Source organism: Homo sapiens, chromosome 12 (assembly GCF_000001405.40).
Source record: "Homo sapiens chromosome 12, GRCh38.p14 Primary Assembly".
Taxonomy (NCBI): domain Eukaryota; kingdom Metazoa; phylum Chordata; class Mammalia; order Primates; family Hominidae; genus Homo; species Homo sapiens.
In genome coordinates this window covers 34,126,355-34,151,175 of record NC_000012.12, presented here as the reverse complement: position 1 = coordinate 34,151,175, position 24,821 = coordinate 34,126,355, and the positions used below count along the sequence as shown (strand labels likewise).

At 40.5% G+C, this 24,821-nt stretch overlaps 2 annotated features.

Moving 5' to 3' along the window:
* Nucleotides 7,944–8,444: an enhancer, noted in NCBI's record as "H3K4me1 hESC enhancer chr12:34295667-34296167 (GRCh37/hg19 assembly coordinates)". NCBI's record gives its function as "activates a minimal SCP1, AML or CMV promoter by ChIP-STARR-seq in naive H9 embryonic stem cells {active_cell/tissue: H9 hESC(naive)}" and the evidence as "EXISTENCE:reporter gene assay evidence [ECO:0000049][PMID:30033119]".
* Nucleotides 8,445–8,945: an enhancer, noted in NCBI's record as "H3K4me1 hESC enhancer chr12:34295166-34295666 (GRCh37/hg19 assembly coordinates)". NCBI's record gives its function as "activates a minimal SCP1, AML or CMV promoter by ChIP-STARR-seq in naive H9 embryonic stem cells {active_cell/tissue: H9 hESC(naive)}" and the evidence as "EXISTENCE:reporter gene assay evidence [ECO:0000049][PMID:30033119]".

The window sequence follows — 24,821 nt, the reverse complement described above, 5'->3', positions numbered from 1 at the left end:
GTTGTGTAGGCTGCTGCATAGGGCAGTTCATAACACTGGAGCTTGCTTTCTGAACTTTAGGAATGCAGTAGAAAGACAGGAAGAGAGATACATATTGACAGAGAGAGAAAGACATAGGCAGAAACTGAGGGAGAAAACACTGGACATAGTAAGTAGAGAAGAGAGAAATCGAGAGAGAGATTGAGGGAGGAAACACAGAAGAAAGTGACTAGGAGAAAATGAAAGCTTGTTTGATAATGACATAATGAGAGTTGCAATAGACTGAACATTTCCCCACCAAAAACTGTACATTGAAATCCTAGCCCCCATTGTAACAGTACTAGGAAGTGGGAGGTAATTAGGTCCTGAAGGTGAAACCCTCAGGAACGGGATTACTGGCTCTATTAAAACAAAAAACAAAAAAACCCAGAGAGCTCCCTTCTCCACTATCTGTCAGGTAAAAATGCAATGTAAAGTCTACAGTCTGAAAGTCAGAAGAGAGAGTTCTCACCAGAGCTCAACCATGCTGGCATTCTGACCTTCAACTTATGTCCTCTAGAATTGTGAGAAAGAACATTCTGTTGTTGATAAGTGGCTCAGTCTATCTTTGCTATAACAGTCTGACCTAAGAAGTGTTATCCCATCATGTTTATTGCATTCCATTTGTCAGACGTGAGCCACAGACCCCTGAGTGTTGTGAGCCTTCCTGTAGTCTGCCCACCACATAGGCCAAAATGAAGGACATGGGTCTGATTCTGAATATAATGAGAAGTCACTCTAAGGAATAATGTCAGAAAATGACAGCATCTGAATTTCATTTCACCTCAAACTCTTACTGGTGCAGAATGAAAAATGAGGCTGAGAGGGGAAGCGACTTTTCAATATCACATTGCTGGACACAGGCCTGTTTGAGTTGTATTCTATGCTACCTCCCATTCCTTCTTATAATTCTTTTATCTCTAAGTGTGTGCATTATCTACATGGGATGCCACACCATGAGTTTTACAAGTTTTATCTCATACGTACCTGATGAGGAAGGAGATACCCTAAAAAAGGAGATGCTGGCATGTTACCCACTGTACAGGTCGAAAGGCCCCAAAACCCACAATAACTTTTCTAGTGTCACAAAACTAATAAGAAAAAGTTGGTTCTTACTCCGATCTATGACCTCACACCTGAGACCCTGGCTTCATTCAGGTCTTCAGGGAACTGAGGAGGGCTGTGCTTGCATAATTGTTCACAGGTAAAGAGTTGACATGCAGGGATAGTGAGCTGTCAGTAGCCCAGCAGGGCCTTTGGATGGGTTTTATGGAAGAAAGCAAGGAGTCCAGAGGATGAAACTTTGAAAAAGTGATCTTACTTCCTTGGTGACAGACCCCAACAGAACATAGAACTCTGGTAACCAAGCACCCACATCCTAGAGACAGCCTTGTATCCAGGTCACTTGGTGGGAAATGCCTAAGAGGACACAATATGCTCCTGCTAGATCTCAACGCTCTTAGGCTCTTGCTTCAGGAAGACCTAAAGTGCAAACCTTTTCTGAGATGCTGACATTGGCTTATTCTTCACCCCAGATGTATCTGGAGATTTTGTAGGGGTTGCCCAGAGGTAACATACCATAAGCCTAGGGAAGGCCCCTCCAGCCTGGGTCTCACCAGTGCTTTCATTTCCCTTTGAATTAGAATGTAAGGAAAAATCAGGAATTTAAAATAGCAAAAATTGACCAAAAGTACATTTTTGTTAGATTCCCTAAGGTTCTGTATTGGTGGTGGTGGTGGTGGTGTTTTGTTTGTTTGAGACAGGACCTCACTCTCATTCAGGCTGGAGTTCAGTGGCACAATCATAGCTTGCTGTAGCCTAGATCTCCTGAGCTCAAGCAATTCTCTCACCTCAGCCTCCCAAGTAGCTGAGAGACTATAGGTGCACACCACCACACCTGGCTAATATATATATTTTTTATTTTTAGCAGAGATAAGGCCTCATTATGTTGCCCAGGTCTGTCTTGAACTCCTGAACTCAAGCAATCCTCAATTTTTGATACATAGATGTGCTAGGTGTAGGATTCTTAGTCGACAGTTTTATTTTTTTTTTCTGTGAGCACTGACCAAGGAACATTTAAAAAGAAGAAATAGAGAAACTTCAAATAAGGCAATTAAATGAACAAATAAAGAGCTAAGAAACAACAAAGATTGAGTATTGAGGTTGTAGTTATGGCAGCTAATGATAGAATGGATCCAGTCAGAGAGTTCAGGCAGAATTGTATTTGCAGAGAGTAGAAGTCTGAGGGTGATGGTGTCCTAAATGAGGCCAATTGGAAGACTTTTTTGTTATAGAATCAAAGACAACGCATGGGAACATACCATGCCAAACCCAAACAGGCTGAGCTGGTGCTCTGTGCTAAGATATATAGGTTTATGGGAAGAAAAGCTACCATTATAACATCGTGTTTTTTTAATTTAAAAAAATCATAAATGTGGCAGTTATAATCAGGATTAAGTTTGAAGTTATATTTCAGGTTTGGTTGGTAGGTGTCACAAAGCAAAAAATGTGTCTGTTGCCAAGAAGTGGGCATTCTAGTTTGTGAAATAAAATATCCCCATGACTAGAGACAGTAGATAAGAAAAAGGGATGGGATGGGCCGGGCGTGCTGGCTCACATCTGTAATCCCAGCACTCTGGGAGGCCGAGGCGGGCAGATCACGAGGTCAGGAGATCGAGACCATGCTGGCTAACACAGTGAAACCCCGTCTCTACTAAAAAATACAAAAATTTAGCCGGGCGTGGTGGCGGGCGCCTGTAGTCCCAGCTACTCGGGAGGCTGAGGCAGGAGAATGGCGTGCACCCGGGAGGCGGAGCTTGCAGTGAGCTGAGATTGCACCACTGCACTCCAGCCTGGGTGACAGAGAGAGAGTCATCTCAAAAAAAGAAAAAAAAAAAAAATTGATGGGATGGCAAACACAAGTTCTTGGAAATTTATGTCAAAATAAAGTATATAAAGAAGGACAATGTGCATCTCAGTCACCAATGCTGCCTGCAATTGAGGTGTTTTTTTTCTGCCCTTGATAAATATACCAGGCCTACTATGTGAGAGGTGAAAAGCAGCCTACATTCTGCTTCCCATGCCAGATGCCTTGACTTGGGGCTCTGTTCCCAGGGAGAAAAAACACATCTTTTAAGTAATTTTGGGTCATGAGGTATCTTCCAAATTCCAACAAAGTAGCTTATATTTCTAGGTGACCCTGAGACCACTGAAAAAGAAAGAAATGAAAGCCATGAAACTTTCTTGAACTGGTGGGAATCCATGAGAAAATCTGACATTATGTTCTATTCTCTTGGAAAGTAGAAATACTGTTTGACTTCTGTTTTGCTGACAAGAAATGTGGTCCTGAGCAAGGCTACCTGGTACAACGGCCTCATACATGGAAAACGTTGGAGCCCATCTCTTTCCAATCTGCTGTTTTCCAAAAATTAGGGGAGTTCAGTTTTCCCTTTGATACTCTCTGTTTCTAACAATCCCAATGCCAGGGCTGTCCTGCTTCTACAAGTGACAATGACAAATACAGGCCTGAAGAAAGATGAGCTGATGGCATTCCCAGCTTATTACCACTCCTTGGGGCCTTATCTCACATACATGGATTCAATTCATAGACTCAGCTGGGTGAGTATATATTATTTAGCTGCATTAGAAGTGACTGCTTAGGTCGGGCGCGGTGGCTCACTCCTGTAATCCCAGCACTTTGGGAGGTCGAGGCGAGCGGATCACGAGGTCAGGAGATTGACACCATCCTGGCTAACACAGTGAAACTCCATCTCTACTAAAAATGCAAAAAATTAGCCGGCATGGTGGTGGGCGCCTATACTCCCAGCTACTCAGGAGGCTGAGGCAGGAGAATGGCATAAACCCGGGAGGTGGAGCTTGCAGTGAGCAGAGATTTCGCCACTGCACTGCAGCCTGGGTGACAGAGCGAGACTCTGTCTCAAAAAAAAAAAAAAAAAAAAAGGAAGTGGCTGCTTAAGACTCAGGTGTGTGGTGAAATGAGGCAGAATATTCTCAATGGAGTGTTAGAATTTTCTCCTCATAATTACCATCTTACTATCACTAAATCATAGCTAAAATAAGGAAATTAAGAAGAAATAGAAATATAATCTTATGAGGACATAAATTTAGAGATTTATGGAAAGGTCTTCATAATTTTATGGTGTTCTCTTTGAGCTGGGATTATAGTTGACATTTCATTGTGATATATTAGCTATACTAGACTTTATGCATTTATGTAAAGTTTTTTTTATTATACTTTAAGTTCTGGGATACATGGGCAGGGCGCGCAGGTTAGTTACCTAGGTATAGACATGCCATGGTGGTTTGCTGCACCCATCAACCCGTCATCTACATTAGGTATTTCTCCTGATGCTATTCCTCCCCCAGCTCCCCACCCTCAGACAGGCCCTATTGTGTGATGTTCCCCTGCTTGTGTCCATGTGTTCTCATTGTTCAACTCCCACTTATGAGTGAGAACATGTGGTTTTTGGTTTTCTTTTCTTTTTTCTTTTGTTTTCTTTCTTTTTTTTTTTTTTTTTTTGAGGTGGAGTTTTGCTCTTGTTGCCCAGGCTGGGGTGCAGTGGCATAATCTCAGTTCATTGCAACCTCTGCCTCCTGGGTTCAAGCTATCCTCCTGCCCCAGCCTACCAGGTAGATGGGATTACAGGCATGTGCCACCACACCTGGCTAATTTTTTGTATTTTTAGTAGAGACCTGGTTTCTCCATGTTGGTCAGGCTGGTCTCAAACTCCCGACCTCAGGTGATCTGCCCACTTCAGCCTCTCAAAGTTCTGGGATTACAAGCATGAGCCAGGGTGCCCGGCCTGATTTTCTTTTCTTGTGTTAGTTTGCTGAGCATGATGGTTTCCAGCTTCATCCATGTCCCTGGAAAGGATATAAACTTATCCTGTTTTATGGCTGCATAGTATTCCCTGTGTATATTTGCCACATTTTCTTTATCCAGTCTATTATCGATGGGCATTTGGGTTGGTTTCAAGTCTTTGCTATTGTGAACAGTGCTGAAATAAACGTGTGCATGTGTCTTTATAGAAAAATGATTTATAATCCTTTGGGTATATACTCAGTAATGGGATTGCTGGGTCAAATGGTATTTCTGGTTTTAGATCCTTTAGGAAGTGCTACACTGTCTTCCACAATTTTTGAACTAATTTAAACTCCCACTAACAGTGTAAAAGTGTTTCTATTTTCCACACCCTCTCCAGCATCTGTTGTTTCCTAACTTTTTAATAATCACCATTCTAACTGGTGTGAGATGGCATCTCATTGTGGTTTTGATTTGCATTTCTCTAATGACCAGTGATGAGTTTTTTTTTCATATGTTTGTTGGCCACATAAATGTCTTCTTTTGAGAAGTGTCTGCTTGTTTCCTTCGCCCACTTTTTGATGGGGTTGTTTTTTTCTTGTAAATTTGTTTAAGTTCTTTGTAGATTCTGGATATTAGCCCTCTGTCAGATGGATAGATTGCAAAAATTTTCTCCCGTTCTGTAGGTTGTCTGTTCACTCTGATGATAGTTTCTTCTGCTTTGCAGAAGCTCTTTAGTTTAATTAGATCCCATTTGTCAATTTTGGCTTTTGTTACCATTGCTTTTGGTGTTTTAGTCATGAAGTCTTTGCCCATGCCTATGTCCTAAATGATATTGCCTAGGTTTTCTTCTAGAGTCTTTATGGTTTTAGGTCTTATGTTTAAATCTTTAATCCATGTTCAGTTAATTTTTGTATAAGGTGTAAGGAAGACGTACAGTTTCAGTTTCCTGCATATGGCTAGCCAGTTTTCCCAACGTGATTTATTAAGTAAGGGATCCTTTCCCCATTGCTTGTGTTTGTCAGGTTTGTTATCAGATGATTGTATGTGTATGGTCTTATTTCTGAGTTCTCTATTCTGTTCCATTGGTCTATATGCCTGTTTTTGTACCAGTACCATGCTGTTTTGGTTACTGTAGCCTTATAGTATAGTTTGAAGTTGGGTAGTGTGATGCCTCCAGCTTTGTTCTTTTTCCTTAGAATTGTTTTGGCTATTTGGGCTCTTTTTTAGTTCCATAAGAATTTTGAAATAGTTTCTTCTAATTCTGTGAAGAATGTCAATGGTAGTTTAATGGGAATAGCACTGAATTATTTTACAAATTACTTTGGGCAGTATGACCATTTTTATGAATTAATTCTTCCTATGCATAAGCATGGAATGTTTCTCCATTTGTTTGTGTCCTCTCTGATTTCTCTGAGCAGTGGTTTGTAGTCCTTGAAGAGGTCCTTCATTTCTCTTGTTAGCTATATTCCTAGGTATTTTATTCTCTTTGTAGCAATTGTGAATGAAGTTCATTCATGATTTGGCTCTTTGCTTGCCTGTTGTTGGTGTATTGGAATGCTAGTAACTTTTGCACATTGATTTTGTATCCTGAGACTTTGCTGAAGTGGTTTATCAGCTTAAGAAGCTTTGGGGCTGAGATGATGGGGTTTTCTAGACACAGGATCATGTCATCTGCAAAGATAATTTGACTTCCTTTCTTCCTATTTAAATACCTTTATTTCTTTCTCCTGCCCGATTGCCCTGGCCAGAAACTTCAATACTATGTGGAATAGGACTGGTGAGAGAGGCCATCCTTGTCTTGTGCCTGTTTTCAAGAATACTTTCAGATTTTGCCCATACAGTATGATATTGGCTGTGGGTTTGTCATGTATGGCTCTTATTATTTTGAGGTATGATCCTTCAATAGCTAGTTTATTGAGAGTTTTTTTTTTAACATGAAGGGATGTTGAATTTTATTGAAGGCATTTTCTGCATCTATTGAGATAATCACATTGTTTTTGTGTTTAGTTCTGTTTATGTGATGAATTACATTTATAGATTTGCCTATGTTGAAGCAACCTCGTATCCCAAGGATGAAGCCATCTTGATCATGGTGGATCAATGTATCCTTATCAGTCTTAGGTTTAGTCTTTTTACATAATCCCATATTTCTTGAAGGTTTTGTTCATTCTTTTTTGTTCTTTTTTCTCTATTCTTCTATTCCTGTCTTATATCAGACAGATAGTTTTCAAGCTCTGAGATTCTTTCCTCCACTTGGCCTATTCTGCTAATGATACTTGTGGTTGCATTGTGAAGTTCTCATGTTGTGTTTTTCAGCTCCATCAGGTCAGTTATGTTCCTCTCTAAACTGAATATTCTAGTTATCAGCTCATGTATTTTTTTAAATGATTCTTAGCTTCTTTGCATTAAGTTAGAATATGTTCCTTTAGCTCAGTGAAGTTTGTTATTACCCACCTTCTAAAGCCTACTTTCGTCAATTCAGCCATCTCAGCCTCCAGCCAGTTCTGTGCCCTTGCTGGGGAGGTTGTGTTGTCATTTAGAGGAGAAGAGGCATTCTGCCTTTTTGAGTTTTTAGTATTTTTGTGTTGATGCTTTCTCATCTTTGTGGGCTTATCTACCTTTGATCTTTGATGTTGCTGACTCTTGAATGGGGTTTTTGTGGGGTCTTTTTTGTTGATGTTGTTGCTTTCTGTTTTTAACAGTCAGACCACTCTTCCCTAGGGCTGCTGTGGTTTTCTGGGGGTCCACTCTAGACCTCAGTCACCTCAGTCTCTCCTGAACCTGGAGGTATCACCAGTGAAGGCTGCAAAACAGCAAAGATGGCAGCCTGATCCTTTCTCTGGGAGCACCATTTCAAGGGGGTACTGACTTGATGCCAGCTGGAATGCTCCTATAGGAGATGTCTGGAGATCCTTTTTGGGAGGTCTCACCCAGTCAGGAGGAACAGGATCAGGGACTGCTTAAAGAAGCAGTCTGGCTGCCCCTTGGCAGACAGGTGTGCTGTGCTGACCCCCGGGAGTCTCTAGAGCCAGCAGGCTGGAAAGGCTAGGTCAGCTGAACCGGGGAGACAGCAGCTACCCCTCTCCCTGGGGACTTCATCCCAGGGAGAAATCAGAGTTATGTCCATAGAACTCTGGCTGGAGCTGCTAAAATTCTGATGGGGAGGTCCTGTCCAGTGAGGAGGGATGGACTGCGTTCTCACTTAAAGAAGCAGACTAGCCACAATCAGGCACAGCACCTGTGCTGTGTTATGGGGAACTCCTCCTGGTCCTTGGTGCCAACGGGCTAGAGCGGCCAACTCAAACCACAGATATAGCGGCTGCCCCTCCCTCAGGGAACTCGGTCCATCTCCGGCTGTCTTCAGCCTGCTGCTGCTGGCCAGCTGGAATTCTAAGCCAATGGGTCTTAACTTGTGACGTGCTGTGGGAGTGGGGCCCACAGAATGATGCCACTTGGCTCCCTGGATTCAGCCCCCTTCCTAGGGGAATGCATGCATGTATCTCCCACTTTGCTGGAATTCTCAGGGCAGAGTATGCAAAACTCCTGGGTTTCGGTGCATGCCCGAGTGAGCCAGCGAGCACTCCGCCGAGACTCCACACAGCTCTGTGCTTCAGACCCAAGGCCGTGGTGGCTGGGCCCACGAGGGGATCTCCTAATCTGCAGGTTGCAAAGATCCGTGGGAGAAGCATGGTTTCCCGGACAGAGTCGCACAATCACTCACCACCTCACTTGGCTGCGAGTGGGGGCTCCCCTAGCTCCATGCCACACCTGGGTGGGCCATCACCCCACTTGCTTTTCCTCACTCTCTGTGGGTTGAGCTGTCTGCCTAGTCAGTCACAATGCAAGAACCTGGATACCTCAATTGAAGGTGTAGAATTCACTCACAGTTTTCATTGCTCTCCATGCTTCTGATCGGCCAGCTTGGCCCCATCTAAAGTATGATTTCTTAATACATGAGCTGTTTTAAATACATAACAATAATGATATTTATCACAAATAATGTTTTGTCTCAATGTGATATAAAAATTGCTAATCAATTCTTTTTTGATTACCACAAAACTATCTGGAAAGGTATCATCTGCCATTTATAAAGTTTTTGTAGAGTTAATAGAACTTTACCTGAAGGGAGGCTGGCAATATGCATCATGATTTCAAATATTGTATTAATTGTTTTGTAATTTTGTGTTTTTTAAAACTAAACTTATTGTATTGGTTATATATTACTTTAAGTAACACTATTTGGTGATGAGAGAATAATAATTTGCAAAATATTAAGAATATAAGAGTTCCTTATTATAAAAATGTCCTCTGTTTTATATTACTATCATTTCCTCTGAAAGTTTAGAATTGTTATTTTCTAATTAAAACATATATTCAAAAATGTGACTTGTAAATGTTACTATTTATAATTTTTTTTTTTTTTTTGCATTTGGTAGGGATAGGATTTTCTGGTGTCTATTCTTCAAAATGAAAGATAGAGAGAATGGAATCAGGAAAGGTTAAAACACAAAGGAACACAATGATGATGATAGAGATTACTCATTTGCGGCCGGCCAGGGCCTAAAAATATCAAGAAGAAACATGATCAATAGAAAACCTGCATGTCCCTGAACATTATGGAATTTTTACTTTCTCTTAAAATTATTCATGATAAAAATCTCTGTTCTTTGCGCATTTAGGAGAGAGAAAATCAGAGTGCAGGGACCTCCCCTGATCCTGATAAGAGCATCCAAAGTACAAAGAGTGTGTCTTAATCTCCTCCCAACTCCATGGTGGAAACAGTTGCTCTGGGTATCTTATTACAGTGATCCACAGGGACATATTGGCCAAAGAGCTTGCGCACTTTAAAAAAGAAATGTTGGCTGGGTGCAGTGGCTCACGCCTGTAATCCCAGCACGTTGGGAGCCTAAGGCCAGTGGATCACGAGGTCAGGAGTTTAAGACCAGCCTGGCCAAGATGGTGAAACCCCGTCTCTACTAAAAATACAAAAATTAGCCAGATGTGGTGGCAGAAACATGTAATCCCAGCTACTCTGGAGGCTGAGGCAGGGGAATTGCTTGAACCAGGGTGGTAGAGGTTGCAGTGAGCTGAGATCGAGCCACTGCACTCCAGCCTGGGTGAAAGAGTGAGACTCTTGTCTCAAAAAAAAAAAAAAAAAATTATGTTGAGATTTTAAAAATAAATGACATGACTTGTCTACAGATCTTCATTTCTCTACCTCACTTAAATTTATGAACAACTTACATAATATAACACTGGGCTTTTATTATTAATATTATTGTGATAATTTCTTTGTCAACACCATTTTTACCGTATTGTATAAACAGCATTGTAAGACCTGTGACTGGTCATTGACAATATATACAATATGTATATATTTGTACACAGGATCTAGCTCTGTCATTCTTGCTGGAGTGCAGTGGTACAATCATAGATCACTACAGATTCAAACACCTAAGCTCAAGCAATTCTCTCACCTCAGCCTCCCTAGTGGCTGGGACTACAGGCATATGTCACCACAGCAGGCTAGTTTAAAAAGAAATTGTAGAGACAGGGTCTTCTATGTTGCCCAGGCTAGTCTTAAACTCCTGGCCTGAAGTGATCCTCAAACACTGGCCTCCCAAAGTGTTAGGATTACAGGTTTGAGCCACCATGCCCCACCTGCTCATATATTCTTTAATAATGAGATAAGAAAAACCTATCACCACGTAGGATTTTTAGAAGTTTCCAAAAATTGTAACATGGCTTGTGATCAAGCCCCTCCCCTGTTTTCTTTTTTTTTTAAATATAAATCCACTGAATTATTTATATTTACACATAACATGTATGTAACAGAAAAATGCTTCTCATACAATGTCAAACCAAAAGGAGCTAGATATAAAAATGTACAATTAATGAAAACCTGAATTTAATGCATAGGAAGTACAAGGAGGAAAAACACTAAAATAGTGATTATTGTTGGTTAACACAATGGTATAGAATGACTTTTCCCATTTCCCAGTATCTTGCACGTTTCAAACTGTGGTTTCATTGCTTCTATTATTTTTATACATCTTTTAAAAAATGGGAGGGGAGGATTTCATAGGGTATTTGCAAATTTAAAATAGAATACAAATCTGAGTGTTCTTTGAAACTTTTTCAAAAATCAAAAATAGTGCAATGATAAGGATGTTTCTTTTTCTAATCTTTTTTTTATTTTATTACTATTATACTTTAAGGTTTAGGGTACATGTGCACAACATGCAGGTTTGTTACATATGTATACCTGTACCATGTTGGTGTGCTGCACCCATTAACTCATCATTTAGCATTAGGTATATCTCCTAATGCTATCCCTCCCCCCTCCCCCCACCCCACAACAGTCCCCAGTGTGTGATGTTCCCCTTCCTGTGTCCATGTGTTCTCACTGTTCTAGTCCCACCTATAAGAGAGAACAGGCGGTGTTTGGTTTTCTGTCCCTGCGATAGTTTGCTGAGAATGATGGTTTCCAGCTTCATCCATGTCCCTACAAAGAACATGAACTCATCATTTTTTATGGCTGCATAGTATTCCATGGTGTATATGTGCCACATTTTCTTAATCCAGTCTATCATTGTTGGACATTTGGGTTGGTTCCAAGTCTTTGCTATTGTGAATAGTGCCGCAATAAACATACATGTGCATGTGTCTTTATAGCAGCATGATTTATAATTGTTTGGGTATATACCCAGTAATGGGATGGCTGGGTCAAATGGTATTTCTAGTTCTAGATCCCTGAGGAATCGCCACACTGTCTTCCACAATGGTTGAACTAGTTTACAGTCCCACCAACAGTGTAAAAGTGTTCCTATTTCTCCACATCCTCTCCAGCACCTGTTGTTTCCTGACTTTTTAATGATCACCATTCTAACTGGTGTGAGATGATATCTCATCATGGTTTTGATTTGCATTTCTCTGATGGCCAGTGATGATTAGCATTTTTTCATGTGTTTTTTAGCTGCATAAATGTCTTCTTTTGGGAAGTGTCTGTTCATATCCTTCACCCACTTTTTGATGGGGTTGTTTGTTTTTTTCTTGTAAATTTGTTTGAGTTCATTGTAGATTCTGGACATTAGCCCTTTGTCAGATGAGTAGATTGCAAAAATTTTCTCCCATTCTGTAGGTTGCCTGTTCACTCTGATGGTAGTTTCTTTTGCTGTGCAGAAGCTCTTTAGTTGAATTAGAATCCATTTGTCAATTTTGGCTTTTGTTGCCATTGCTTTTGGTGTTTTAGACATGAAGTCCTTGCCCATGCCTATGTCCTGAATGGTATTGCCTAGGTTTTCTTCTAGGGTTTTTATGGTTTTAGGTCTAACAGGTAAGTCTTTAATCCATCTTGAATTAATTTTTGTGTAAGGTATAAGGAAAGGATCCAGTTTCAGCTTTCTACATATGGCTAGCCAGTTTCCCCAGCACCATTTATTAAATAGGGAATCCTTTCCCCATTTCTTGTTTTTGTCAGGTTTATCAAAGATCAGATAGTTGTAGATATGCGGCATTATTTCTGAGGGCTCTGTTCTGTTCCATTGGTCTATATCTCTGTTTTGGTACCAGAACCATGCTGTTTTGATTACTGTAGCCTTGTAGTATAGTTTGGAGTCAGGTAGCATGATGCCTCCAGCTTTGTTCTTTTGGCTTAGGATTGAAATGGTGATGCGGGCTCTTTTTTGGTTCCATATGAACTTTAAAGTAGCTTTTTCCAATTCTGTGAAGAAAGTCATTGGTAGCTTGATGGGGATGGCATTGAATCTATAAATTACCTTGGACAGTATGGCCATTTTCATGATATTGATTCTTCCTACCCATGAGCATGGAATGTTCTTCCATTTGTTTGTATCCTCTTTGATTTCATTGAGCAGTGGTTTGTAGTTCTCCTTGAGGAGGTGCTTCACATCCCTTGTAAGTTGGATTCCTAGGTATTTTATTCTCTTTGAAGCAATTGTGAATGGGAGTTCACTCAAGATTTGGCTCTCTGTTTGTCTGTTATTGGTGTATAAGAATGCTTGTGGTCGGGCGCGGTGGCTCACGCCTGTAATCCCAGCACTTTGGGAGGCCGAGGCGGGCGGATCACGAGGTCAGGAGATCGAGACCATCCCGGCTAAAACGGTGAAACCCCGTCTCTACTAAAAATACAAAAAATTAGCCGGGCCTAGTGGCGGGCGCCTGTAGTCCCAGCTACTTGGGAGGCTGAGGCAGGAGAATGGCGTGAACCCGGGAGGCGGAGCTTGCAGTGAGCCGAGATCCCGCCACTGCACTCCAGCCTGGGCGACAGAGCGAGACTCCGTCTCAAAAAAAAAAAAAAAAAAAAAGAATGCTTGTGATTTTTGTACATTGATTTTGTATCCTGAGACTTTGCTGAAGTTGCTTATCAGCTTAAGGAGATTTTGGGCTGAGATGATGGGGTTTTCTAGATATACAATCATGTCATCTGCAAACAGGGACAATTTGACTTCCTCTTTTCCTAATTTAATGCCCTTTATTTCCTTCTCCTGCCTGATTGCCCTGGCCAGAACTTCCAACACTATGTTGAATAGGAGTGGTGAGAGAGGGCATCCCTGTCTTGTGCCAGTTTTCAAAGGGAATGCTTCCAGTTTTTGTCCATTCAGTATGATATTGGCTGTGGGTCTGTCATAGATAGCTTTTATTATTTTGAGATATGTCCCATCAATACCTAATTTATTGAGAGTTTTTAGCATGAGGGGTTGTTGAATTTTGTCAAAGGCCTTTTCTGCATCTATTGAGATAATCATGTGGTTTTTGTCTTTGGTTCTGTTTATATGCTGGATTACGTTTATTGATTTTCATATGTTGAACCAGCCTTGCATCCCAGGGATGAAGCCCACTTGATCATGGTGGATAAGCTTTTTGATGTGCTGCTGGATTCTGTTTGCCAGTATTTTATTGGGGATTTTTGCAGCGATGTTCATCAAGGATATTGGTCTAAAATTCTCTTTTTTGGTTGTGTCTCTGCCAGGCTTTGTATCAGGATGATGCTGGCCTCATAAAATGAGTTAGGGAGGATTCCCTCTTTCTCTATTGATTAGAATAGTTTCAGAAGGAATGGTACCAACTCCTCCCTGTACCTCTGGTAGAATTTGGCTGTGAATCCATCTGGTCCTGGACTTTTTTTGGTTGCTATTTTTTTGGTGAGCTATTAATTATTGCCTTTTTTTGGTAAGCTATTAATTATTGCCTCAATTTCAGAGCCTGTTATTGGTCTATTCAGAGATTCAACTTCTTCCTGGTTTAGTCTTGGGAGGGTGTATGTGTCGAGGAATTTATCCATTTCTTCTAGATTTTCTAGTTTATTTGCACAGAGGTGTTTATAGTATTCTCTGATGGAAGTTTGTATTTCTGTGGGATCGGTGGTGATATCCCCTTTATCTTTTTTTTTTTTTTTTGAGACGGAGTCTCGCTCTGTCATCCAGGCTGGAGTGCAGTGGCACGATCTTGGCTCACTGCAAGCTCCACCTCCTGGGTTCATGCCATTCTCCTGCCTTGGCCTCCTGAGTAGCTGGGACTACAGGCGCCTGCCACCACGCCCAGCTAATTTTTTGCATTTTTAGTAGAGACGGAGTTTCGCCATGTTGGCCAGGATGGTCTCGATCTCTTGACCTCGTGATCCACCTGCCTCGGCCTCCCAAAGTGCTGGGATTACAGGCGTCAGCCACCGCGCCCGGCCTCCCTTTATCATTTTTTATTGCATCTATTTGATTCTCCTCTCTTTTCTTCTTTGTTAGTCTTGCTAGTGGTCCATCAATTTTGTTGATCTTTTCAAAAAACCAGCTCCTGGATTCATTAATTTTTTGAAGGGTGTTCTGTGTCTCTATTTCCTTCAGTTCTGCTCTGATCTTAGTTATTTCTTGCCTTCTGCTAGCTTTTGAATGTGTTTGCTCCTGCTTCTCTAGTTCTTTTGATTGTGATATTAGGTGTCAATTTTAGATCTTTCCTGCTTTCTCTTGTGGGCATTTAGTGCTATAAATTTCCCTCTACACACTGCTTTGAATGTGTCCCAGAGATTCTGGTATGTTGTGTCTTTGTTCTCATTGGTTTCAAAGAACATGTTTGTTTCTGCCTTCATTTCATTATGTACCCACTAGTCATTCAGGAGCAGGTTGTTCAGTTTCCATGTAGTTGAGCTGTTTTGAGTGAGTTTCTTAATCCTGAGTTCTAGTTTGATTGCACTGTGTTCTGAGAGACAGTTTGTTATAATTTCTGTTCTTTTACATTTGCTGAGAAGTGCTTTACTTCCAACTATGTGATCAATTTTGGAGTAGGTGTGGCATGATGCTGAAAAGAAAGTATATTCTGTTGATTTGGGGTGGAGAATTCTGTAGATGTCTATTAGGTCTGCTTGGTGCAGAGCTGAGTTCAATTCCTGGATATCCTTGTTAACTTTCTGTCTCGTTGATCTGTCTAATGTTGACAGTGGGGTGTTAAAGTCTCCCATTATTATTGTGTGGGAGTCTAAGTCTCTTTGTAGGTCTCTAAGGACTTGCGTTATGAATCTGGGTGCTCCTGTATTGGGTGCATATATATTTAGGATAGTTAGCTCTTCTTGTTGAATTGATCCCTTTACCATTATGTAATGGCCTTCTTTGTCTCTTTGATCTTTGTTGGTTTAAAGTCTGTTTTATCCAAGACTAGGATTGCAACTGCTGCCTTTTTTTGTTTTCCATTTGCTTGCTAGATCTTCCTCCAATCCTTTATTTTGAGCCTATGTGTGTCTCTGCACATTAGATGGGTTTCCTGAATACAGCACACTGAAGGGCCTTGACTCTTTCTCCAATTTGCCAGTCTGTGTCTTTTAATTGGAGCATTTAGCCCATTTACATTTAAGGTTAATATTGGTATGTGTGAATTTGATCCTGTCATTATGATGTTAGCTGGCTATGTTGCTCATTAGTTGATGCAGTTTCTTCCTAACCTTGACGGTAGTTAGAATTTGGCATGTTTTTGCAGTGGCTGGTATCAGTTGTTCCTTTCCATGTTTACTGCTTCCTTCAGGAGCTCTTTTAAGGCAGGCCTGGTGCTGACAAAAATCTCTCAGCATTTGCTGGTCTGTAAAGGATTTTATTTCTCCTTCACTTATGAAGCTTAGTTTGGCTGGATATGAAATCCTGGGTTGAAAATTCTTTTCTTTAAGAATGTTGAAGATTGGCCCCCACACTCTTCTGCCTTGTAGATTTTCTGCAGACAGATCAGCTGTTATTCTGATGGGCTTCCCTTTGTGAGTAACCTGACCTTTCTCTCTGGCTGCCCTTAACATTTTTCCTTCATTTCAACTTTGGTGAATCTGACAGTTATGTGTCCTGGAGTTGCTCTTCTTGAGGACTATCTTTGTGGCATTCTCTGTATTTCCTGAATTTGAATGTTGGCCTGCCTTACTAGATTGGGGAAGTTCTCCTGGATAATACCCTGCAGAGTGTTTTCCAACTTGGTTCCATTCTCCCTGTCACTTTCAGGTACACCAATCAGATGTAGATTTGGTCTTTTCACATAGTCCCATATTTCTTGGAGGCTTTTTTCGTTTCTTTTTATTCTTTTTTCTCTAAACTTCTCTTCTCGCTTCATTTCATTCATTTCACCTTCCATCACTGATATCCTCTCTTCCAGTTGATTGCATCAGCTATTGAGGCTTGTGCATTCATCACGTAGTTCTCGTGCCGTGTTTTTCAGCTTCATCAGGTCCTTTAAGGACTTCTCTGTGTTGGTTATTCTAGTTATCCATTCGTCCAATTTTTTTTCATTTTCAACTTCTTTGCCATTGGTTTGAACTTCCTCCTTTAGCTCAGAGTAGTTTGATCTTCCGAAGCCTTCTTCTTTCAACTCGTCAAAGTCATTCTCTATCCAGCTTTGTTCCATTGCTGGTGAGGAGCTGCATTCCTTTGCAGGAAGAGAAGCGCTCTGATTTTTAGAGTTTCCAGTATTTCTGCTCAGTTTTTTCCCCATCTTTGTGGTTTTATCTATTTTTGTTCTTTGATGATGGTGACGTACAGATGGGTTTTTGGTGTGGATGTCCTTTCTGTTTGTTTGTTTTCCTTCTACCAGTCAGGACCCTCAGCTGCAGGTCTGTTGGAGTTTGCTGGATGTCCACTCCAGACCCTGTTTGCCTGGATATCAGCAGCAGTGGCTGCAGAACAGCAGATATTGGTGAACCTCAAATGCTGCTGCCTGATCATTCCTCTGGAAGTTTTGTCTCAGAGGTGACTGACACCATGTGAGGTGTCTGTCTGCCCCTACTGGCGATTGCCTCCCAATTAGACTACTCAGGGTCAGGGACCCACTTAAGGAGGCAGTCTGCCTGTTCTCAGATCTCAAGCTGCATGCTGGGAGAACCACTACTCTCTTCAAAGCTGTCAGACAGGGACATTTAAGACTGCAGAGGTTCCTGCTGCCTTTTGTTTGTCTGTTCCCTGCCCCCAGAGGTGGAGCCTATATAGGCAGGCAGGCCTCCTTGAGCTGTGGTGGGCTCCACCCAGTTTGAGCTTCCAGGCCACTTTGTTTACCTACTCAAGCCTCGGCAATGGCGGGCGCCCCTCCCCCAGCCTCGCTGCCGCCTTGCAGTTTGATCTCAGACTGCTGTGCTATCAATGAGGAAGGCTCCATGGGCGTAGAATCCTCTGAGCCATGTACGGGATATAATCTCCTGGTGTGCTGTTTGTTAAGCCTGTTGGAAAAGTGCAGTATTAGGGTGGGAGTGACCTGATTTTCCAGGTGCCGTCTGTCATCCCTTTCTTTGACTAGGAAAGGGGATTCCCTGACCCCTTGCGCTTCCCAGGTGAGGCGATGCCTCACCCTCCTTTGGCTCATGCACAGTGCGGTGCACCCTCTGTCCTGCACCCACTGTCTGGCACTGCCCAGTGAGATAAACCCAGTACCTCAGTTGGAAATGCAGAAATCACCTGTCTTCAGTGTCGCTCATGCTGGGAGCTGTAGCCTGGAGCTGTTCCTATTCAGCCATCTTGGCTCCCGATCCCCTCCCCTGTTTTCTGTCTTTTGTCTCTGCAATAGCAGTTCTACTACATTTTTCCTCAATGAGCTAAGAATTAAATGTATTGAGATCATAAATAGCTATGTTAGTAAACATTGTGATTCTGGCTGCACCCTGCATTAAGTTAAATTGTCAGAGAAATTTAGAGTATTTTAGTTATTTTGTTATTATCTTATAATTATTCTTTTGGCATTTCTGCATTTCACAAGGTTCTTTTCATGGAAATATCTAGTTAGGAAGAATAATACTTTTCTAAAATTGTGAGCTCAGTTTCTCAGGTTGCTGACTATTGCCACTGCACTAACCAACCTTCTTTCATCTGTCACATGAAACTCTCATAATCACTTTATGTTGTTGATATCCAGTCATAGGTCTCACAGTGCTGTTTATAGAATATGATCAAAGTGGTGGTGAACAAGAAATTATCAATATAATAATAAAACAGCCCAGTATTTTATTATATAAGTTGTATATGCATTTAATTTAAGCCAGACAGAATACAAGGATCTGTAGACAAATCATGCCATTTTTTAAAAATCTCAACAAATTTGACATTATTATAAAGATGAGGAAACAGATTTATTGAGCTTGATTTACTTTATTTTTTATTACATTCCCTTTCTTTGCTTCAGACATCTGATCTAAACATCTGCAGTATTTGTGATCAGTCTTTCGTTTTGGTACATTTAATGGTGTTATTTTTCCCACAACTACTCATGATTATATATATATACTTAGGGACTTACACAATTTTGAAAGTTAAGCAAGCACAGTGAGAATGAACTTGATTTGCACTGTCTGTCTCTGAGAGTGCTCAGGGACTTCTCCCTCAGCCCAAGGACAATCTGGTTGCCACGTCTTCTGGTGAGATCTGACATGTACATCCTGATTTATGTTTTTAATGTATCATATGGGACTGTTTTCTTTTATACTCTTACCAACCCATATGACCTCTAAGAATTTTTCTTTCATTCTTTTTTCCCCACATCTGTAAAATGTTATTGTAAATCCTATGATACTTCTATAATGGATGTGTCAGATTCACTGAGAGAAAATATAAGAAACACAGTAAAGTTTAAAATTGAGATAAGCAATGAATAACTTTTCAGTATAGCTATGCAATATTTGCATATTTGTTGTAATATGTTTAAGCAAGTATTGGAAGATATTTATACAAATAATAACCTTACCCAAAATTCAAATTGAGTCTAGTGTCTTATAATTTTTTAATTTTTAATTTTTGTGGGTATATAGGTGTACATATTTATAACATACACGAGATGTTTTGATACAGACATACAAAGTTAAATAATCACATCACAAAGAATGGGACATCCATCCCATCAAGCATTTATTTTTGTGTTGTGAACAATCTAATTACACTCTTTAAGTTATTTTAAAATGCACAATTATGTTATTATTGACTATAGTCACCCTATTGTGCTATCAAATAGCAACTGTCATTTATTCTAATTATTTTTTGTACCCATAAACAATGCCCACCTCACCCTAGCTCCCCACTATCCTCCCCAGCCTCTGGTAATCATCCTTGTACACTCTATGTTCATGAGATCAAGTGGGTTGATTTTGAGATCCCACAAATAAGTGAGAACATGTGATGTTTGTCTTTCTGTGCCTGGCTATTTCACTTAACATAATGATTTCCAGTTCCATCCATGGTCTTGCAGATGACTGGTTCTCATTCTTTTTTAAGGCTGAATAGTACTCCATTGTGTATATCTGCCACATTTTTTAATCCATTCTTAATGGACACTCAGGTTGCTTCCAAATCTTAGCTATTGCAAATAGTGCTGCAACAAACACAGGAGTATAGATATCTCAACATACTGATTTCCTTTCTTTAGGGTATATACCCAACAGTAGGATTGCTGGATAATGTGGTAGCTCAATTTTTAGTTTTTTGAGGAACTTCAAAACATAAAAAACCTCAAAACTATAAAACATTAGTGATGTTCTTTATAGTGGTTATACTAATTTACATTCCCCCCAACAGTATATGAGGGTTCCCTTTTCTCCAAATTCTCACTAGCATTTGTTATTTCCTGTATTTTGAATATAAGCAATTTTAACTCCAGTGAGATGATATCGCACTGCAGTTTGAATTTGCATTTCTCTATCAGTGATGTTGAGCACCTTTTCATATGCCTGTTTGCCATTTGTATGTCTTCTTTGGAGAAATATATATTCAAATCTTTTTTGCCATTTATGACCAGGTTATTAGATTTTTTTTGTAGAGTTGTTTGAGCTCCTTATATATTGTGATTATTAATCCTTTGTCAGATGGATAGTTTGCAATTATTTTTTCCCATTTTATGGGTTGTCTGTTCACTTTCTTGGTGTGTTATACTTTATTTTTCATTTATTATTTTAATTTTATTTTTCTATAAGTTGTTGGGGTACAGATGGTATTTGGTTACATGAGTAAGTTCCTTAGCGGTGATTTGTGAGATTATGATGCACCCATTACCCAAGCAGTATACACTGCACCATATTCATACTCTTTTATTGCTCGCCTCCCTCCCACTCTTCCCCCCAAGTCCCCAAAGTCCATTACATCATTCTTATGCCTTTGTGTCCTTAGCTTATTTCCTACATATCAGTGAGAACATACGATGTTGAGTTTTCCGTTCCTGCATTACATCACTTAGAACTATAGTCTCCAATCTCATCCAGGTCACTGCAAATGCTGTTAATTCATTCCTTTCTATGGCTACATAGTATTCCATCATATATATATATATATATATATATATATATATATATATATATATATATACACCACAGTTTCTTCATCCACTTGTTGATTGCTGGGGACTTGGGTTGGTTCCCTGATTTTGTGGATTGTGCTGCTATAAACATGCATGTGCAAGTATCTTTTTTGAATAATGACTTATTTTCCTCTGGGTAGATACATGGTAGTGGGAATGCTGGATCAAATGGTAGTTCTAGTTTTAGTTCTTTAAGGAATCTCCACATTGTTTTTCATAGTGGCTGTACTAGTTTACATTCCCACCAGCAGTGTAGAAGTGTTCCCTGTTTACTGCATCCATGGCAACACCTACTTTTTTTTTATTTTTGGGTTGCAGGAGGTAAGGTGGCATTGCATTGTGGTTTTGATTTGCATTTCCCGCATCATTAGTGATGTTGAGCATTTTTATTTATGTTTGTTGGCCATTTGTATATCTTCTTTTGAGAACTGTCTATTCATATCCTTAGCCCATTTTTTGATGGGGCTGCTTGTTTTTTTCTTACTGATTTGTTTGAGTTTGTTGTAGATTCTGGATATTAGTCCTCTGTCAGATGTATAGATTATGAAGATTTTCTCCCACTCTGTGGGTTGTCTATTTACTCTTCTGACTGTTCCCTTTGCCATGCAAAAGCTCTTTAGTTTAATTAGGTCCCAGCTATTTATCTTTATTTGTATTGCATTTGCTTTTGGGTTCTTGGTCATGACATCCTTGCCTATGCCAGTGTCTAGAAGGGTTTATCCAGTGTTATCTTCTAGAATTTTTATGGTTTCAGGAATTAGGTTTAAGTTCTTAATCTATCTTGAGTAGGTTTTTGTATAAGGTGAGAGATGAGAATCCAGTTTTATTTTCCTACATGTGGCTCACCAATTATCCCAACATCATGTGTTGAAAAGGTGTCCTTTCCCCACTTTATGTTTTCATTTACTTTGTCGAAGATCAGTTGGCTGTAAGTATTTGGGTTAATTTCTGGGTTCTCTCTTCTGTTCCATTGGTCTATATGCCTATTTTTAAACCAGTACCATGCTGTTTGGTAACTATGGCCTTATTGTACAGTTTGAAATCAAGAGGTGTGATGCCTCCAAGTTTATTCTTTTTGCTTAGTCTTGGTTTGGCTATGTGGCTCTCTTTTTGTTCCACATGAATTTTAGAATTGTTTTTGTAATTTTGTGAAGAACGATGGTGGTATTCAGATGGGGATTGCATCGAGTTTGTAGATTGCCTTTAACAGAATGGTAATTTTCACAATATTGATTCTACCCATCCATAATCATGGGGATGAGTTTCCATTAGTTTGTGTCATCTATGATTTCTTTTCTTTCTTGTGTGTTTTGTTTGTTTGTTTGTTTTTGAGGGAGTTTCACTCTTGTCACCAAGATGGGAGTGCAATGGCATGATCTCGGCTCACTACAACCTCCGCCTTCCGGGTTCAAGCCATTCTCCTGCCTCAGCCTCCTGAGTAGCTGGGATTACAGGCGTGCAGTACCATGCTTGGCTACATCTATGATTTCTTTCAGCAGTGTTTTGTAATTTTCATTGTAGAGGCCTTTAGATTCCTTTGCTAGGTATATTCCTAAGTTTTTTGTTTTTTTGTTTGTTTTTGTTTTGTTTTGTTTTGCAGCTATTGTGAAAGGGGTTGAGTTCTTGATGTGATTCTCTCCTTGGTAGCTGTTGGTGTTGAGAAGAGCTACTGATTTGTGTATATTAATCTTGTATCTGGAAACTTTGCTGAGTTCTTTTACCAGTTCTAGGAGCTTTCTAGAGGAGTCCACAGGGTTTTCAAGGTCAAAGATCATATTGTCAGCAACCAGTAACAGTTTGACTTCCTCTTTACTGATTTGGATTTCCTCTCTTTCTTTTTTTCTGATTGCTCTGGCTAGGACTTCCAGTACTATGTTGAAGAGGAGTGGTGAGAATGGACATCCTCGTCTTGTTCCAGTTCTCAGAGGGAATGCTTTCACCTTTTCCCCATTCAGTATTATGTTGGCTGTGGGTTTGTCATAGATGGCTTTTACTGCATTAAGATATGTCCCTTCTATGCCTATTTTGCTGATGCATCTGTTGATATGATCATGTGAGTTTTGTCTTTAATTCTGTTTATGTGGTGTATCACATTTACTGACATGCATATTTTAAACCATTCCTGTCTCCCTGGTATGCAACCCACTTGATCACGGTGGATTATCTTTTTGATATGTTGTTGGATTCGGTAAGCATTCGGTAAGCTAGTATTTTGTTAAGGATTTTGGCATCTATGTTCATCAAGGATATTGGACTGTAGTTTTCTTTTTTGGTTATGTCCTTTCATGGTTTAGTATTAGGGTGATGCTGGCTTCATAGAATGAATTAGGGAGGGTTCCTTCTTTCTCTATCTTATAGAATGGTGTGAAAGGATTGGTATCAACTCTTCTTTGAATGTCTGGTAGGATTCTGCTGTGAATCTGTCTGGTCCTTGGATTTTTTGTTGGTAATTTTAAAATTACCATTTCAATCTTGCTGCTTGTTATTGGTCTGTTTAGGGTATCTAATTTTTCCTGACTTAAGCTAGGACATTTGTATTTTTCTAGGAATTTATCCATCTCTTCTAGGTTTTCTAGTTTATGTGCCTAAAGGTGTTCATAGTACCCTTGAATGATCTTTAATATTTCAGTGGTGTCAGTTGTAATATCCCCTGTTTCATTTCTTAGTGAGGTTAGTTGGATTTTCTCTCTTCTTTTCTTGGTTAATCTTGTTAATGGTCTATCAATTTTATTTGTCCTTTCAAAGAACCAATGGAACAGGAATTAAACGAAATTAAAGAATATGTAAGCAAAAACTCAGTTGTATGTAAGAAAACCCAATTCCCCCTGAGAAAGAGAAAGAGGTGGAGTCCTTTAAAAATTAACTGCCTGTTTTTCTGTCTGGCTAGTGAGCCTTATCTCTCACTTTCCCAGGCATTGTGAAGACCGTTTCTCTAGCTATGCAGCTGCAAGGTCACTAGACAGATAAACTTAAGTTGTAAAACATGTTTTTTCTTGAAAAGTAACAAATGATGTAATACAAGTCTCAACTGAATAACTGTCTTTGTTTCTCACTTCTGTAATATGCTTCCCCTACACAGATCTCCCCCAACCCTACAAAATGCTTAAAAGGTAACTTGACTCTTTGTTTGGGGGCTCAGTCATTTTTGAATGTTAATCTGACTGGGCTGGTGGACCTAAATAATAATAATAATAAATCCTCCTCAACTTCTCAGTCTTTCTGATTCCTAAATTATCCCGAAACATTTCTGGTGGCCCATACAGGGATCAGAGATGACAGATTTACTGTCTCCTTTGTCTGTGGGACTAGAGCCCCAGGGCCGGGGGAGACCCAGCATGCAAGGTGCACCCTAGGGTACCTTCACCTGGATGGAGACCAGCTCTCCCTGCATCCTGGCAGCCTACCCAGCAGCAAAACAGAACTGGGGATGAGGCTACAGGACAATACTAGCACTTCAGGAACTGCGGTAAGGAGAAACTGCCCAAGGCAGGAAAGCCCATCCCATAGGGAGGAAGTGGAGCTTGATCACCTCCTGGGGACTGACCACTAATCCAACCTAGAGTGGCTGGGGGTGGCAGGAGTGGCCTGCCAATTTGGATGAATCTCATGTTCCCCTAACAAAGTAAAAGTGGTTCACTGGTGGAGAAAAAGGGCTGATAGAGAGGCAAGTGCAGCAAGGAAGAGCTTGCTGGCAGGGTGGCAAGAGTGGCTTGCAACCCCAACTGGGAGTGTGTGGGTGTGTGTGGACCTACCTGGGACACAAGAGAGACTCATTTCATCCCATGAGGAGTCCTGGGGTAGGAGTGGTGTGTGTACGTGTGTGAATGTGGAAGCCTAACTAGGCTCACCTGGGACATGAGAGAGGCTCATTTCATCCAGTGAGGAGTCCTCAGGTGGGGGAGGTGTGTAAAAGTGTGTGAAAGAAACGGTCTTGGGAGAGGCCAATGTGGGGAGTGATGGGGAGGCACAGAGCCCTTAGCGCAGGCTGTGTGCTCTGAGGCGACTGTGGGGGAAAATCAGACCTAGGACATTGTGTATGGCTGATAGGACCAGCTCCATGTCTGCAGCAGGCTGTAAGAGGGGAAGGAACGTTCCTAGCTAAACACTGTCCAAAATTCCTGTAATAGGACCCGGTCTGGTGAACCTGAGAGTAAAAGTAAAAGTGAAAGTGCACCGC